This window comes from Homo sapiens, chromosome 6 (genome assembly GCF_000001405.40).
Source record: "Homo sapiens chromosome 6, GRCh38.p14 Primary Assembly".
Taxonomy (NCBI): domain Eukaryota; kingdom Metazoa; phylum Chordata; class Mammalia; order Primates; family Hominidae; genus Homo; species Homo sapiens.
Genome location: NC_000006.12, coordinates 128,058,822 through 128,078,171, shown reverse-complemented (window position 1 = coordinate 128,078,171; position 19,350 = coordinate 128,058,822). Strand labels below are relative to the sequence as shown.

Here is a 19,350-nt window from a genome sequence, read left to right as displayed (position 1 = left end):
TGGCCTTTTTCCCCCCTCTAGTCCCATTTCATTTCACGTCCTCTCTTGGTATCTATGTTATAAGAGCTTTGAAGATATTTGTCAGAAATAGGATGAGAAAATAACTCCTGTCCAATGCAGTAAATCAGTTATGAATAATTTCATATGAATGATTGAAAAATAAGAAGCTTTGATGAAATAAAAGCAGAATAGTTAGAACACATGAAGCCTTTTTGACCTTTTAATTCCCGAATTGTTCCTTATCAAGTATTCCAGAGTAAATTGAATGTTCAGTTTGCCATTTTCTTTATCTTTTCAACAGTAAAGTCTCATATTATCTAACATCCCCATCTTTCAGAAAATTGTGAGCCATGTGATTTTTAGGAACTAAGTCAAATTGTTACAACCATTTTAATTTCTGCACATTTGTAATCAGATGAATATCCAAAACTTAAACAAGTTTCCATTTGAAACGTGATTTTGTGGACATTTTGTTATCAAACTTCTAATGAGAAATAAATGAAGGCACAGAAATCCACGTAGGCACTTCATAATTGGTTTATATCAAGTCGTTTACATATTCAGTTAAAAATAAAACTAATGTTTGTTCTTTGTGTAAAAGGAATACATTTGACTTCGTGAGCACGTATTAGCCATCCAAATAACCAAAAATAATCCTAGATCACTGGAAATGAAGAAATATTTTTTCTTAATTTAAGAAATGTATTGACAAAAGAATACAAATCATAAAGGGAACTCTTGAGTCTTGTCTGGCTAAAAATCATGAGAACACTATACCAGAGAAAAAGAGTTGGCTGAGGGTGTACTTGTAATATAAACACTTATGAAACACTGGCTACTTGAAAATTCAAAGTACGTATATAGTGCTGTTCATGAATCAATGATCTGTGAGTGAATCTGATTGCTGATCCAAAGTAGAAAGAGAAAATGCCTGCACTCAACATCTTTTCCTATTGACAAGTAATCAGGGTCATTCACATGTTCCTACCTGTGATAAAATTTACTTTTTAGGTGTTCACTTCTGTTACTGGTGCTTAAATCAGCTACCAGCTACTTGCATTTATCTTTTAAGAGTTAGATATTTGGGTGAATTCAACTTTATTTTACGTAAGTTGCAAACACAGCATATTTTTATTATTTTTGCATCACTGTACTATATAATGTAACTTACATTAACTCTTTATTCACTTAATCAATTTTTTCCACAAACATTGATTGATCATTTATTATGCCAGTCACTGTGCAAGGTATTGTAAATCAAAGATAAAATGACCACAACAAAACACAGAATCTTTGCCCAGGTTTGTCATAGACCATCAGAGATGCCTGCAGCCTTGTAAATCATTTGCTCATAGCTGGTGTTCAGGAATTTTGTTAACTCAGTATGTTATTGATACACGTTTTTAAATTTAAAGTCTTTTACTTTATTACCTTTATATAATTTCTAAAGACCAATTAGAAACACTCATCTTTGTATTTGTTGGCAAGATTTTTGACCTTTTCTAGAATTGAGCCAGAGGCTGAGAACTTCAAATTATACATTGTTGGAGATTAGTGCTCAGAAAAATAAATTTAAATCCTGGAATATTACAAGAAGAAGTAATTTAATAATAATATAAACAACAGATTTTTTTTGAAGTGAATGTTACTACCAGGAAAATAAAATCTGCTTTCTAACTGATATGCTAATCCCACCAAGTCCATCTTTAGTTTTTGTAATGACTTACCCAGTTCACCTACAGGTGGGTGCCAGGTGGTGGGACCAGAATGGTCTAGTCAAGTAATCTGGCTTCAGATGAGCCCTGCCTCCTTTACCCTCTGAATCCTTTGTGCTGTCTTTCTTTCCTCTGACCACATTCCTACTTTCAGTCTCCCTACCAGCAACTGTAGCCTTATCGTGAGGCTTATCTGATCCAGTGCCTTAATTTTTTGAAAATGAAGATTCAATTTAATGTAATCATTTTTCCTTACCATTGAATTTATGGTCTGGTATCTCAAATCTTTGATTGGATTCCCATCACTCACTTCAAATGTACTTGAAGCAATTTTACTTTCCACTCAATTTTTTCTTTGTTTATGTCAGTCTGTCAAAATCTCTTCTCTGCTAATGCTTGATGCTATTCTACTCTGTGACCCTTCCCCCTGCCACCCCTGTCACCTTCCCAAATAAACCAGAACTACATATTATCCAACTAAATCTGAGAGCATCCAGGAGTTAGCTTGCTGGCTGTCATAGACCCTAAATACTGGGTTCTGTCCTTCCCTAATTATAGCATTACTAGCCTCTGCCATTTTGCATTTCACCATCTATTCATCCCACCTCCAGTGGAAATATGTATTCTTTCTGCCTGGTCTTCCTAATATCAAACAAACTCCAGTTCTACAGTCCTCTGTCATACCAACTAGAAAATCTTGTTATATAGAGTTTTCGTGTTTAGTTTTATTAGGAAAGCTAAAATCGCCAATGGATTCTATAAATTTGTTGACTCAATAACATTCTATATGTGCCAAGAGCTGAGCTGCATACTTGAAATAGAAATCTACTTAAGGCAATTAGTATGTGCACCCGTGTGAGTGGTAGACTCCTAAATTAATGACTGGTAACAATGCTGTGTGATAAGTGCAATAATAACAGCTAGAAAATGTGGTACTAAAGCTGAATTTGTGAGGAGAGGTAGAAATGAGCATGGCCAAAGGTCACAATGATGCATTTACGAATTGCAGATAGCCTAGGTCATGGAGAGTGAAGGGTCTGTGGGAGAATTGACAGCAGCTGAAGCTGGAGAGACAAAACAGGGAGCAAAGGGAGAGGTTGTTTAGTGCCAGCCCCACAACTGAAGGTGGGCACAAGAAGGACTGTAAGCAGAAGTTACCATGGGCAGTTTTACGTTTTTAGAAAGATCACTCTGATAGAAACATAGAGAATGGACTGGGGATAATCCAGAAGGCTGGAGTAGTCCCTGTGAGAAGTGCTAATGGGCCATTTTAAGAAAGTAGCAATGGAAATGCAGGTAAGACTGTGGCTCCTACATAAGGTTTTAGATCAGTAGGATGTGTAAAGCTTCATGGGAAGGGAGTTTGAGTGGAGACTTTAGGTGAGAGAAGATGGTAGCTTTTATATTTGAAGTGGTAGCAGAGCAAAAAGACATCTCAGAATTCAAGGTTTTGTTTTTTGAGGTTATTAAGTGATAAATATTTTCAGTATTGCTACCCCAAATCAAAAAAGTAATGCTCTCTCTATGAAAAGAGGAGTTATTTTATATATTTTGCCTACCTTACCAATATTTTCACCAAGTTTTAATCTCTAAGAGATCATGGTGTTGTGCTTACATAAGAAGTAATGACCACAGTGAAAAATCCCATTCTGCATAATGCAGCACTAAGTTTCACCAACCACATTGTCCTTCTGTTACCCATTACTGCTTCCCTATGCTAATGTAGAACATGTGCGATGCAGTGCTGGCAAGTGTGGTTCTTTGACGAAATTAATTTTTGATTTTATAATCATTCTAAAAACTGAACATTGTTGCCTGACTTAAGTAGAACTTTGAATCTCCTTACCAACTTTTTGAGATCTATCCTTACAACTGTCATCACTTGACAATCATTACTGTGTTCAAAATGAATATTGTCTACATTTAGAATCAATTCCCTAGAATACATAATTCCTTTTCTTTTCTTTCTAAAAGGTTTCTTCGTAAATGAATTAAAACTCTAACCTGGGAAAATATAATTACAAATTATAATGCATAGAACGTCCCATTTATTAAAAGATTGACCCAATATAGCTGTGTTTTCAAAGAATGAAAATAACAGCAGCATGTTGTAAAAACACAAAATAGTTTCTCTGTGGTGAGACTGTTTATTGTAAAGTTAATAAATGAATATATATTTTATTTCAGCATTTTCCAAATAGAAACTCTACCCATTTTGCGCTGCAGGAAGCTACCCATTCTAAGGTTACTTTGTTTTGTGGAGAACATCTAATTTGCATTTCATAACATTAAGCACCACCTATTTAGTTTGATAATTAAAATATAGTCATGAAATAAAGTCAAAACCACCATTTCTTCCACAGTTAAATTAGGAAAAGAAATTGTCTGATGTTCTAAGTTCACTGATAGCTTAACAGACAAATGTATGTTAGGGTTGCATAGCTTTAAAATCTGGGGCTATCCTCATCCACCTGCAGAATAGTCTGTTTCATTACATAAATTTAAAGATATCAAATAGTTCTAATTTTCCTAACCACTATCCTGACCTAGAGCTTACTTGAATTCCAAATAAAACCATCTTGAAATTTAACTAGAGATGGAAATAATCTTTTTGCCCTCTTTTATGGGCATAAAGGTCATATGGTCCAATTAGATCAAATAGATGTTACTTTAATTTTATGTTTATTCTCTAGAATCATAGTAGGTAGAATCATTATAATTTTTCTAATCAAAAATAGGAGGAAGTATGCCCTTCTTGTTAAATCTTCTTTCTGGCCTCTAGAATCCCAGTCCACAGCTTGCTTATGACCTTGTGAGAAGCCCTGAGCCAGACCTGTCTTAGCTTAGCAACTCTGGAATTCCTGACCCACTGAAGCTGTGAGATAATGTTTGTTGCTTTGAGCTACAGAATTTCAGGGTAATATGTTATGCAGGAAGAGATTATACATGTACCCAAGTAGTATAAATCTTCTCTTTCTTCAGATTTCTGCCCAACGGATACTTTTATCACATAAGGATTTCTTGACCAACCCATATAAAATAGCACTCTGCATTCCCATCATTCCCTCTTTCCCTTAGCCTGCTTTATCTTTCTCTAGAGCACTTATCCCTTCTTAATATGTGTTGGTTTTCTGAATTTATTTTTTTATTTGTGTCTCCCCACTAGAATGTAAACTTCATGAGAACAGAGACTTTTGCTACTATCTTCATTATTTTAACCTCAGTACTTAAAATAATTCATGATATGTAACAGATACTCAATAAATATTTGGTGAACAAATGAACTGGATCTAAAAATATAACAGCCACATTCTGTAGTAAGCTTATCATCTGCTAAAGGAAAGACATATACCTAAAAAACTATTTTTAACAGTATAATATCAAATCATATTTGTAATGTACCATGTTGGTGCATGTAATGTGCTACGGCCACATACTGATGTATCATATAAGCAATAAATATTAGACAGCAATGCTAGGTCTTTTGTTTTTTCCACCCTAGAGTTTTTGAGAATACCATTTATGGTTCTGATAAATGGATCTTTGGCATTATAATTGTCAGTGGGTTAGGAACTAGATTAAACATGCATCCCTGTGATTGTGACTTCTACCCCCATGTCATCCTTCAGTCATCCTCATCTTAAAAATTACTCCATTGCCTTTAGAAGACAGAGTACTGAGGAATGAAGATAGTTCAAGAAGCCTTCATGGCAGAAGTAGAAAAACTAGACAAGAAAGGCAGAAATTCTTGACTGTATGTTTAGTATATTTGGGTAACAATGGTCATACCAGCTTCGAATGGAAAATAAATATCAGGAGATAAAACAAGAATGGAGATATAAGGTAAGGAATGTGGTAATTTATCAACCCCAGCGTAAAAAGTACAGAGTTTGACTTTGAATTTGACTGTACTTCAAATTTTAATGTTGCTATTATCCTGGGCTAGTGATATGTAATACATGAGATATTAAACACTTTATTATAAAACAGGTTTTGTATTAGCTGATTTTGCCAACTATAAGCTAATGTAAATGTTCTGAGCACATTTAAGTTAGGCTAGGCTAAGCTATGCTGTTCAGTGGGTTAGATGTATTATATTCATTTCAATTTACAATATTTTCAACTTGTAATGGGTTTATTGGGACATAACCCCATCATAAGTTGAGAAACCTCCATATAATGTAGTAAAATATGTCATTTTAATTTTTTAAAAAATAAGGAAGTCACATTTTGTGTATTGAATGATTAATGATACCAATATATTGATTTAACCTAATTACAGAAATATTTTTGAAGTTTATTAAAAGGAATGGGGAATATATTAACTATGGGTAGAGTGATTAAAAATATTATGATGACTTTGGAATAGTTTTAATTACTAAAGTACTGAGCTCACCTAATATTTAGATCTAGCTAGAGTTTAGTTCCATTAGGTAATTAGACAACCAGAAGAATGAAGAAGCACAATCCCATTTCATGTAATTAGTCAACTCACTTCTAATGCGATTTCTTATTTCTTATTTCATCTTTTAATTAATTTGTATTGATAAATAAGAAAATAACAAGGACAGAAACAGATTTAAAAATTGGAAATGTGGTTAGAGAACAGCCTTTCAGATTGAACAATGAAGGAAAGATAGTTTCTTTTAAACATGGACTAGTGTGACTTTTTGTTATTTTTATAGCTGTTTTTCACTAAATGTAAATACTTCTTAAAGACTCACCATGATTACAATTGATTTCTGTGTGAGTTATAAAAATGCCTCTTCAATGGGCATGAAAAAAGGTAGAAATAGATGCACAAAGTGATGCATCCAGAAAGACACTGACTAAAGACTGAGCCCAACTAAGGAGAGTAAAATGCCACTAGAGAATTTTGAGGGATACTGGTACAAGGAAAGATACTTTTCATATTTTCAGTATCTTGAAAAGGTAGCATGCTGCAGAGGTCCAGAACAGAAAGACAGCAGTACAGCAGACAGGTGTATATCAAGATTTTAAACTGAAACGGGTATTTCTGGGTGATGTTATAGAAAAGTAGTACAATTTCAGTTTCGTTTGGGTGTAAAAGCAAAAGGGAGTATGAGAGATGACTTTAAAAGACTCTGAAGATCTACTTCTGGGTAGCTGTCCCAGTCACTTTAAATGCTTACCATGGACAGTCACAGGTTCCTAAGTGAACAGAGTTGAAAAGAAAGTATACATTTTAGTTTTGTTGTCGTTTTAAACTGTATCAAACTTGAGAGGGGCAGAAAGCATTCTAAAGATGGTAGAACACTAGAAGTTTCAGTAAATAAAAGTGAATATAAGGTCCGTGAAAGGCAGGTGTTTTTTTTTTAACCTCTCTATCCTCAGAGCCTGCATGATACCTGTTAAATATATAATTGTTGAATGAAAATGAGTTAATGGATACAATGTCACAGGAAGAAAGGTAAATGAGAAAATTCTTACTCTTCAAATAATGCTCGGGATTTTTCAGGTGAAAAATGTACTTTCATGGAGAAAGAAAAAGAGTATCTTAGATATGTCCTAAGCAAAAATATCAACAGAAAAGGCAAAAGCAATGTATTCATTTCATAAACACTTAAACGTCCATTATCCTATTTGAAACCACATATTCCAGTGTGGTTTCAAATAGGATAATGGGCGTTTAAGTAAGTATAATATGTGAAAATGTAATGGCTATTGTATCAGCTTTTGGAGTTAAACATATTTGGGATTAAAAATATCTAGAAACTGGGGTGAATGTTATATCATGAAGACATTTCTCCTGGTATGAGTGGTGGTAGAGTGGGAGGGTTATAGAGTGCGGTGACCAGGTTATCTCCAACTAGCGTTCCATCTAATGTTACTCATTGCACAAAGAATGTTTTAGAAAGTATGCTTGGAAGCCAGTTCTCAGAAGTCTTTTTGTATTTATGTGTCTTAGTTTGCTCAGGCTGCTATTACAAAATACTAGGTGGCTTAAACAAGAAATATTTCTCACAGTTCTGGAGACTGGGAAGTCCAAGATCCAGGTGCTCTCGGATTTGGTTCTTGGTGAGGGCCCCTCTTCTAAACCTAATTATTTTCCAAAGGCCCCCTCTCCAAATACTATCACTTTGAGAATTAGGGTTTTAACATGAATTTTGGGGGAGGGGGCACAAATATTCAGTTGGTAACACTGTAGTATAAAGTAGAGAATGAACAAAGTGAGGTTCCTGGTTTAAGTTTTAAGGGGAGCTCTATTCTTCTGCCTCAGTTTCAATAGTAACAGAAATATAATACTTCATTTCTGTAATGACCATTCAAAGAATAAATGAATAATATTGGTAGAGAAAAGATATATAAGATTAAAGTGCATGGCACTGTAATTTATATTTGTATATAAATTATGTGGAAATCATTTTCTTAATTCTTTATGAAACAAGCATGTTACTTGTATTTTAGAACTTATAAAATTGAAATAATTTATCTTTCATTTTAATTGAGAGTAGGGCCAAATCTGAAAGTTCAACCCAAGGCATTGATTTTTATTTTCTATGGGACCATACTTAAGGCTCTTTCCCAAAGAGCCTATTGCACCTTTTCTTCCTTTACTCTTCTCCAACACTGGCAATTTACTTTGCTCCTCACAGATCTAGATAGACAAGCTGTCTTGCATGAAGTATCCTTAATTTGTAATGTAGAATCTCTGTCAATGTAATAGAATTAGTTAAGATTGAATGTTCACTAGATTTTGTGTTTTTTTTTCTAGAGGTATGGGATAATTAATGAAGAATCTATTTTTAAGGATTAGATTAATGATTAACAAGGATAGGTAATTATTATTATTCTTTAGGGCAAGAATATAAGGTTACATTTGTTTGGAGAGCATGTATGAGGGAGTTTATATGCATATGTGGATGTATCCACAGGACATGCAAATGTATAATATACAAATATGAATTATAAATTTAAAATAAAACATAGCATATGTCAGCTATGATCATTCTCGTCTTTCTCCAGGGCTATGCGTATGTATTTTCTATATCTTAAAATTGACAAATGCCTGCTCCATGGATGCCTCAGAGACCATGCATCTTGTCAGTAGCATTCTTAGAAGCTTAGCAACCAACTTGGCAGAGGTATAGGGAATGATGCAGCACATATAATTTGAAATAACATAGACTTCTGCCTTGCTTGCTCAAATCACAATTTCTAACATTAATACAAGTTCTGTTATCTTTTTAGAGGAAACAAGATGGATATGAACCTACTGATTTATTAGCAATATTTTAATGGAAAATGGGAGCTTAAATAACTAGGAAGAAAAGAAAATCTGTAATTTATCAATTAAATTATGATTTAACTCTTTCTTTTGATGTCCTTTTGTTTAATCTATGAAGATCTTTTATTTGTAGGCATAAGAGTTTATATTAAATTAGAATTTTATGCCAGAGTCTAAACTGTTTTAATTTTCATAGATGCATGTTCAGTGTATCTCTCTCTCTCCTCTCTCTCTCTGTCTCTCTTTCTCCCTCCCCCTCTCCTCCCCACTCCCCTCTACCTACCCACCTCTTTCTTTTTCATGGAAGTCTTTTAAAGAATGTATTCTGTTCCTCCTGGAGATCCATTGAATATCAATATGCAGCCCTGCATACAATTTATGTTCAACTTACCTAAGATACCACATATATTTTTCCAGAATTTTTAGGAATTTTAAAACATTTTAAAATATATTTATAATGTATAAAATATATTATAATAATAATGTCAACTTTCATGGTAATATTTTACCTGAAAAAATTTTAACGTAAAGAATTTTCTACTAAAAAAGAATATTGTTAATATACCAGCTTCAGAGTTGTTAAAAAATATTGTTAGATATCCGGGGGATCTTTATTTTAAATTTGCCTTGTTTTTCTTTTTGTTTTTTTCTCTCCTTTGTAAAGTAATTGCAATTATAGAAAAGTTTTAAGACTTAAAGATATCAGAAGGTTTAGGTTAGAGCTTTAATAGGCCAAATGCCATCTGTTTCTACAATTTGTAACATTTTATTATTAACAACTCCAGAAGAAGGAGGCGGTCTATTTCGGTTGTGAGGACAGATTTCTGTCCATCTGTGCCCGTATTGCCGCATGTCACTTGTATTTTAGATCTACATAGCTCTGAGCCAGTGTAGATGCCATGGCAAGGTCAAGAGGTGGAGAAGCCTGTCAGTACATTCTGTCTCTGAGGCTGTGACAACCACAAATGGGTGCTTCTAGCACCGCCCTGAGGCAGTCATTCTGTTAGACCTTGGAGCTGGACTTTCTGTAATATCATTTCAAGGGAAAATGTTAACTTTAAACATTTAAAAATATCAGACAAAGAACTGAATCTATGATGTGTCTTTGGTTAATGTCAGAATCCTTATTAGGGTGGCTCATTCCTCAACATTTAAAAATGTTGAAAGTCCTACGGTGATTGTTCTTCTTTTTATCAGTTTCTTTGTAACTACAGTGATGTTAGGGACAGCAGCATCTATATGGATTTTTCATTTTATTGCGAAATAGCTGAAAAGAGTATACCAGGTTAAGACTAACTTTAAATACTTTGAAATGTGGTGTGTTAATAGTCAACCCCTTAAAAAAAATCTTAGTATCTTAAATCTCTAAATATGTGTGTATATATATGTGTGTTCTTTTTTTCTTTTCCCCAAAGTGCTTATCAGATTGTTGTGGAAGAACTGCACCCACACCGAACCAAGAGAGAAGCCGGAGCCATGGAATGCTACCAGGTTCCTGTCACATACCAAAATGCCATGAGTGGGGGTGCACCGTATTACTTTGCTGCAGAACTCCCCCCGGGAAACCTACCTGAGCCTGCCCCGTTCACTGTGGGTGACAATCGGACCTACCAAGGCTTTTGGAACCCTCCTTTGGCTCCGCGCAAAGGATACAACATCTATTTCCAGGCGATGAGCAGTGTGGAGAAGGTGAGCTTCCTCCAGGATTTGCTTTTTCCCTGCTTTGAAGAAAAGCTGAAGTCAAATTTTATGAATACTCAGTAGCATCCGTCAAGAAAAAAAAAAAGAAAAAGAAAATTTGCATGTAGGGGGTTCTGTTCTCAACAGTGTGCGCAGTTTTGGGGCTACAGTAGGGCTGAGGCCGCACGCCAGTTCCATTTCACAGGGTTCCTGTTTCCTAGTAACTGCTTCTACTCGAGCCTTCCTCAGGAAAGCCCACAATAGCAATTGAGAGTAAAATGATTTGAAAACGTGGGTGTGCTGCTGCTGGGACTCCACCCTCAGTAACGATCAGGCATTGTTCTGTCTTCCTTGCTCAGTGGTGGCACACTTCAAGAGATTAAATTTACTGCAGGATAAACAGAATGCGTGTTCCACAGCAGGCTAATAAAACCTTATAAACTTTTCAGGGTTTTCAAGCCAAATAGTAAATAACATGTAACAATCCTCTGATTACAAAGTAATAGGGCGCCTGTGGTATATCTGACTGAACCTAAACAAAAGGCAGCCTGGCGATGACTGGCTGCTGAGCCATTACAGAAGGCTGCTCTCTGTTTCCCTGGTTGCCCCTCCTTTTCCCATTTTGGACACAGTTGTTTTTGAACACTGCTGCTGATCCCAAATGAATATTGAAGAGGAAAACACAACAGGACATTAGAAACGACCGGCAGTTCCGTATGTGGGAAAACAACCTGGCCTTTCATGCCTCATGCTGTTCTCTTTGGAAGATTTTCTTTCCTAAAACTTATTTTTATTTATTTATTTATTTATTTATTTATTTATTTATTGGCAGACAGAGATAGAGGGAAGACAAATGTTGAGGATAGAAATTTTCACAATTTAAAATCCAATAGAATGATGACATTTTAATAGACTTGAAGCCGTATAGGAAATTGCTGGGTTTATGTAATTGAGTCCCTAAGGTGAGCACCTGGGAGTGATACATGATATACAATTACATCAGTCATATTATATCTTAAAGAGTTTAATTGGAAGACATAACAATCCTTTTGCATTTCTGCAGGGGCCGTGAGAGCTTTGGGTATTGATTGGCTGCTTTTGAATCAAAGCTTTGTTGTTTGCTTGCCTGTATGCTTGGCTTGTAGGTAGCAAAGAAAAAGGCCACAGCATCTTCTAAGATGTGCTCCAGAGTCAGAGGCTGCTCATGGTTGAAGATGCTCTTCTCGTTTACCTTTAAAGAACTGAGGTCTTTAGAGAGTAGTCCAGTGTCCACTTTCTGCCTACATATCATTCCATACCACTGTTACAACTGGGCTACTATAAAAACAGAACACAATGGAAGTTATTAGTCCATTCTGGGTATAATATAGCATTGAGTAGGAAGCATAGTTTTGTGTGAGGGTTTTGATCTTTAGAGAGGTTCCAAATTAACTTTGGTTATTTGGTCTATTATACCAGAGGAGTGTTAATGAATGTCTGTTACTTATAAAGGATTTTCTCTGCATTCTTTAAAGCTTTTTGATATGAATTTTCTCTTCCAATTGTTAATATATCTGCACTGTGGTTTAATCAAAGTACAGAATAGCAACAATATATTTCACAGTTATCTTGGCAAAGAGTTTTAAAGTTGATGTGACTTCTACAAGTAGAGATTGGTAATGCCATTAGAAAGTTAAACAGCAATTGCTTTTAAGAAATGAAAATCCTTTGGGGCCTTTATGGGAATGTGAAATAATCTCTTGCAGGTTACCATGAAGGTCTCAGGCCACAAGTAATAGAAGTGCAACATTTTATTTTTAATTACTAATTCCCCCCTCACTGCTTTATTTTAATTTAAAAATAAAAAAATAAAAAATGCTTAAGTGGAAATTGTAAACTCTTTTATAAATTATCAACATATAGAACTACTCAAGATAGAGTTATAAATGCATCTTGCAAACAGATCGCCTCTGGTTTGTTCACTGGCTTTGATACCTTTTCTCACCTCTTGTGTATTCAGGGATGTACGCTGACTCAATTAAGTCCTAGAGGAGGAAGAGTGGGGCCAAAAGTAGCTGGCAGGGACATGTGTCTCCTACTGCCACCTGACAGCGTTAAAAATAATCATATTTTTTCTTGTCCTTTCCTACTGCTTCTACTTTGTATACCCGCTCTGTCTAGCAAGAGGAGGAAAATTATGTATGCTGAGAAACATTTAACTCCTAATAGCTAAATTAAAAGAAAGAAAGAACAGATAAATTACACCATAACTATGATGTAATGTTTTGATGATCTTTCTAACTGCTATCATTTAGCTTTTTAGTCATGCTAGGATCCAGATGAAAGTATGTAATGTTCAGCTTTGGTCTCAGTCTACAGTTCTCAGATGAAAATTAAATTTATATTTGGAACTGTTTTTATTAGCTTTGCAAGTACATTTTTCTGATAGTTTACGAAGCACTATACATGAAAATAGAATGCTATACTACTTGTCACAAACTAACCTGTTTCATTGCAAGGTAAAAACAAATATTTACATCTCTATAAAAACTAAAATATTTTTCAAAGTTCTTACTTTAGATTTTTAAGTATCCCTAGGGGGGCATATTTTTTAAAGTTTTCTTAATATTAAAATTCTGTTGTTTATAATCCCTTTTTATGACCCCAGATGGATCTTCATAATAATTATAGTTTATGAAACAGGAAACATTATCTGTACATTGACTCTTTTTTTTTTCATTTTTACTCTATCAGGAAACTAAAACCCAGTGCGTACGCATTGCTACAAAAGGTAAGAGGTTTGCTTTTTTTGCTTGTTTTAACTACTCTCACCCCCTTTCTAAAATGGAAGGACTTTGTTCCCTGCTTCAGGGCTAAATATGACATTTCTGTTATAGTTAGTTCTGTGACTCATGTGGGTGTCTTTAACAACTAATGGGGTGCTACTTCCCATCCTCTAGTACTTGACTGAAGGAATCTTGTTATGATAACAGGAAAGATCTAGAAAACCTTAGAAGGGCTTATTTCTGCCATTTAGTGTCTGAAAAATCTTGTGCTGCTGATCAACCAATATCTTAGGAAAGCGTCAGCAATAGCAGATGAAAATAGCAAGTTGCTTGTTTAAAAACCTCTATTACTTTCCATTGTAGACAATCAAACATAAAAAGAACCAAGCTAATTCATGTTTACATAAGATTATAGGGATAGAGATTAGTCCATATCTTCATCAGTAGTGCAGTTAGCTTGAAGATCATTTACTTTTTTTAAAACTTATTCTGAGAAACCAGATCTGTGATGGCTAGCTCATAACCAGGGCAATTCCTGCTGACCTGGCATATTATGGCTTAGCTGCCTAGTTTCTTTGACAAGAGAAAACATTTGCATCTTTGAATGAATATTTAGAGTTCCAAGTGGGGGAAAGTCTCCTACATTCTCTGTGTTTTTAATTCTTCATTTAAGAGTTACTTGATTGTGCCAACAAAGAATAAATTGCTACTTGGTGTATTCTAGCAAGAGAAACATGAAAAAGCTGTCTGCATGCAGACGTGGGCCTCCTCAAAGGGTTGGTTCTTGGGGTGGTTTGCTGCCGGAATTAGTAGCAGACCCACATTTGTGTCCAGTAGTTGATTCATTTGGGGTAAAAATCAATGGCCATATTCTGTTTGTACTGGCATCTTTCCTTTCATCAGTTTTCTCCATCTAATCATCAGTCTGCTCAATCAGCATTTGTGCTTTACTCCTGATTTGTAAGGCAATAAAGAAAGACTTTCTCTTTGACGCTTGTGAATAATAAAGAAGCTTTATGGAAGAGAAAAAAATATACTTTTTCAATTCACTTATGAAGATTCCTTTTGGTAGTTTTTATTTAAAAAAGCAATTCTTAAAGAGAAAATATACACAGATACATACGATGTATAAGGATTTTATTTTAAAAATTTAGCTTACTGATCAGGAACGAGAGTTGAAATTTTTAAAAGATAATAGAAGAAAGCATTTAGGTCTATATCACCTGTGTTTTTCCAGATTTAAAGTAGAACCAAAATTGTAAAAGTGTCCCACATTGACCTCTGAAGTTCTTTAGATATGTCATGCTATGTTTCTGTAACTGAGAAATGGTAGCTATATATTACCCTAACATAACTTTTTTATTCAGTTATTTCATTATTTGCTCTTGCCTGAGATGTTTGTGTCCTTTTATCGCTCTCTCGATACAAATTTAAAAAAATGACAAATATCACATGATATTTAAACTATAGGAGGATTGAGATCCTGGAAACAGTCTTACCATGTGGCATAGAATAATTGACAGAAACTTTGAAGTGGTAAAAAATAGTCCATTATTTGTCTAATAATCCAGCTCTGCTACACTTCTGGATCTCAGGAATGCAGTGTGGTGTGGTGTAGTGAGTAAGAGAAAGGACTCTGGCCTTACACTATCTGAGTTCAAATATTGACTGTGTCCCTTAGGAATTTTTTAGTATTGAGAAACTTATGTAAACCCTCATTCCAAAAATTAAATAATAGAGTACCTACACCTTCTTATTGTTGTGAGGATTAAAATAACATATATAGGCCAGACACGGTGGCTCCTGGCACTTTGCAACGCCAAAGTGGGAGGATAGCTTGAGGCCAAGAGTTTGATATCAGCTTGGGCAAAATAGCAAGACCCTGTTTCTACTGAAAATTTAAAAAAAAAAAAAATGTTAGCCAGGCTTGATGGAGCTCACCTGTGGTCCCAGGTACTTGGGAGGCTGAAGCGAGAGCATCGCTTAAGCCCAGAAGTTCCAGTTTACGTTGAGCTATGATCGTGCCACTGTACTCCTGGGTGACAGAGTGAGACCCTGTCTCTAAAATAATAAAATAAAATATATATGAAGTGCTTAAATAGTGCTTAACATATTATAAACAGTACATGTGTTAACTATCTTATCATTATGCTAATAATTTTGTACTTAAGAGGGACATAACTTATGTTAGACAGTTATGAATGAAATATGTATAAAAACAAATCTAAATTTTCGTGATCGAGATTGCTAGGACAGGGGAGAAACTAAGGGTTTTTTGTTCGCTTGTTTTTTAATGTTTCTGCCCTGGTCTAATATATTTTCTTCTCTGAACCTTTAGCATTTTTCCACATATGAAAAGCTAACCCTGTTTCTACAAAAACTAAAAAAAATGAGCCAGGCATGGTGACTTGTGCCTGTAGCTCCAGCTACTTGGAAGATGGGAAGATTGCTTCAGCCTAGGAATTTGAGGCTGCAGTGAGCTATGATTGTACCACTGCACTCCAGCCTGGGTGACAGAGTGAGACTATGTCTCAAAAGGAAAAAAAAAAGAAAAGAAAAGAAATGAAAAAGAAAAACTACCACATTTGTTAAAGTAACATCAACTTATTGCCTGACTACATTTTAAACTAACATGCAAGTATGGTCAGCTTTGGTGTGAAATTTTTCAATATGAAAATAAAAAGTTTTCTGACAGGGCGTTTTGAAGAAACATTTAATAGTCAAAATGGCATAATCATATGACTGGGAAGAGGCATGAAGGAACCTTCTGGTGAAGGAGTGGTTCAGTATTTCACAGGTGCATATGTAGGTAAAAATCTGTCCAACTGTACATTTAAAATGTGTGCACTTTACTCTTATAAATTTGTGTGTGGATATATAGGTAGATAGGTAAAGTATTTCCCAATATAAAAAAATGAATTATACATTAAAAATTGCATGGCCAGAGTTAGAAACAGCACTGAGAATATTATAGAGGAGTCTCTGGAGTTTGAAAGGCTCACCTTGCTAGCTTCAGTGAAGGTTTCCTTCTATCAGACGAGGTGCATCTTCAGTACATAAGCCACTTTCAGTGAGAAGGACAACCCTGCCCAGGAATCCCTGGGCTGAATGAAAAGGGTCTAGAAAGGACCTTTCTTGGTCCTGGATGACTCCTATGGGCAAGTCTTGTGTTTCAGCTGCCCTACAGTCAGACCCTCCCCTGCCTCCCAACCCCCACCCCCTTTCCAGTGTCAGTTGTGAGTACTGAAGAGCTAGAACCTTGCTAGAACCTTGCTTTCCTAATATCCTTTGTATTTAGATCAATTTTGCTGAAAAGAACTTAGTTCTCTGGAAAATCTGGTGTCCCTCCATAAGACATTCCAGTTTGCAGTGTGTCCTTTTACCACACAAATTTTCTGTTCAGGCCATATGCAACAGTCTGTTGCTTTTTTTCTCATTTTTTTGAAAACTTAAAACATTCCAAATGTAGTCTGGGACAAAGTACCTTGAACAAAGTGTGTGTTTCTCTCACTCACTCTCTCTCTGGAAATTATTTTCACATCCCCTTTATTTTAGAAAAAGTTGTATTTTGTATGGAGAAGCCAGAGTTCATTGTTACATGTTAGTATCATATTTATAATAGAAAATAAAACATTTTACTAAAACAAAAAAAAATTATTTAGCCAAATTTGAAGCTCTGATTTAATAGTCTTATACATCACTATATGCCAGGGACAAATACAGAGTGAGAGTCATATTAGATACAATAAATATTTGTTGAGTTGGTAATTGAATTTGAACAAAACGTAAGGTAGATGCTTCTGCTTTCACGTTTAATCAAACAGGTTACAGTACTGTCTGCAATTATGAAAAGTATCAGAGCAATATGTGAGTTAAGACAAATTTATTAAATAACTAGAGTTGTTTTTATTTCTTTAACTGTGCATTTATATTGTGATATATATTTCATATTCTAATATAGAATACTTTTGCCAAAGCTAAGACTTTATTTTAGTAACAAAGCAGTCAGTTAAAAATATAATCTATAAACTAATGTGAATTAAATTAAATTTAATCCTAGTCTGTGTCTATATCAGTTTTATTCAAATGAGTTTTCTTCAGCTGAATTCTGTGATAGGAAGACAGTTTAGCTCAAATTGTCTTTTCATTGTAATCACTGCTATTCTTATGACCATATTCTATAGCTTCTTTGCTTTCCTGGTACTCACATTTCAATGTGAAGGACCTATTCAAATGAATTAACCAGAATGAATGAGTTGATATATTAGAGCACAGAGTCCAAAGAGAATCTAGCTATTATTACTTCTTATAATAAGTCTTAAATTCGGGATACAGGACATTATAATGAGAGATTAAAATTCTATCAAGTGTCTTAAGGATGGACATAACTAAGTAGCATAAGAATGTACCATGTTTTGCTAATGAGAAACTCTGACTTCATTGGTGGATGTCTTTAAATTTTACAGTCAAAGTAGAAATAATAGCTCTGAATATTTTTATAGTTCTCAAGCATAAGATCAGAACTAGAAATTAAAAAGGAGTAACACATACAATTTTCAACATTCATCTTTTCCCAGCATTTTGAATTATTCTTAAAGTTGGCGACAGTTCACCATTACTACTGTATATCTGGAATACCCTGTGTCTAACTGATTTCATCTTAATTCACTTCACATTGGACCCCGGAACCTCTCTCTCTGCTCTCATTGCTAGTATAAGTAGACTCTTCTCCACCATGTTCCTAGAGAAATAGCCAAGTCACCGAAACAGAAAAGATATGAGTTGAGGACCTTCAAGGGTGCATGATCACTGTTTTCATCCCAACCCCAAGTTAGATGGAAGTTAAATATTTCTTTGCTTTAAAAGTTACAAACTATTATTGTTTGCATATGGAGTATTACTAGTCTAATAATTTTTGACAGAATGATAACTGGGATGCTAGGATATAGAGAGAAATGGAAAAAAATAGAACGGACCTGAAGATGATTCAAGCATTTTGCTTTTATGGAAATTAAACTGTTTTATGAGAAGATTTCTGACCTATTACCCTCTCTTTCCTGAGGAGCCTGTTGCAGGTACCTTACATTTATGGCCACGTCTACGGGAGAGAAGTGATGACATTCATTCATAAACTGATCAAACTGTCAGTGTTAACTGTGGAAAGGATAGAGTTTCTAACCTAATTTGTAATGCTGTAATCACATACTTAGAAGAGACTGGAAAAACATAAATTGGTACAACCTAAGGGAACTAACTTATAATCCATTTCAGCAAAAAATTCAAAAGGTAGGTGGTTATATCATCAATATTCAAAAATCAATAGTGTAGCAGCAACAAAACAGTATTTTAAGATGTTGTCATTTATAATGTATCTCTAAAAATTAGTGTAGGAATATATCTGGTGAAAGATAGATTACATCTCTACACTGAACACTACAAAATCTTATTGAGAGAAATTAAACAATACCTAAATTAATGGGATGGCACACCATGTTCATGGATTAGAAGATTCAATATTGGTGAAATGTCAGTGCTCCTACATTAATGTGTAGATTTAAAGCAATCAAAATCCCAATTTTGTTAAAAAAATTAACAATCTGATTCTAAAGACAAAATGGAAATGCAAAAGAATAAGAATATGCAAGGCTACTCTTAAAATACAGTTCCTGGATGTTATCAAGGCCAATATAAAGTTAGAGTAATTAAGACAGTGTGGTAATAGCACAAGAATAAAAATTATGACCAGTGAAAGAGAAACTCCAGTAATAGATGCACACACACGTTCACCATTTTTTATGACAAAGGTAAAACTGTAGGGAAGAGGGGAAAAGGTACCCTTTTCAATAAATGACAGTTTTTCCATATCTATATGGAAGACATTATATCTTGACCCCTAACTCACACTATATAAAAAAATACAGCTACATATAAGAGTTATAAC

General features: G+C 34.7%; 1 protein-coding gene and 1 long non-coding RNA gene across 7 annotated transcripts in view; one reads left to right on the top strand and one right to left on the bottom strand.

Annotated features, from left to right (window-relative positions):
• Window positions 1-19,350, top strand: part of PTPRK (protein tyrosine phosphatase receptor type K) — a 551,815-nt gene that overhangs the window by 442,428 nt on the left and 90,037 nt on the right. For all 6 annotated transcript variants that reach the window (NM_001291984.2, NM_002844.4, NM_001135648.3 and 3 more), the window contains 2 exons: window positions 10,380-10,653; window positions 13,378-13,414. In NM_001291984.2, the coding sequence (NP_001278913.1) occupies window positions 10,380-10,653; window positions 13,378-13,414 (311 nt within the window). The remainder of the gene's footprint in view (window positions 1-10,379; window positions 10,654-13,377; window positions 13,415-19,350) is intronic.
• The window catches only part of PTPRK-AS1 (PTPRK antisense RNA 1), a 58,429-nt gene that overhangs the window by 8,122 nt on the left and 30,957 nt on the right, over window positions 1-19,350 (bottom strand). The window contains exons 2-3 of the long non-coding RNA NR_125849.1: window positions 15,351-15,470; window positions 10,576-10,685 (exon numbers count right to left, since the gene is read on the bottom strand). This is a non-coding gene — a long non-coding RNA (PTPRK antisense RNA 1). The remainder of the gene's footprint in view (window positions 1-10,575; window positions 10,686-15,350; window positions 15,471-19,350) is intronic.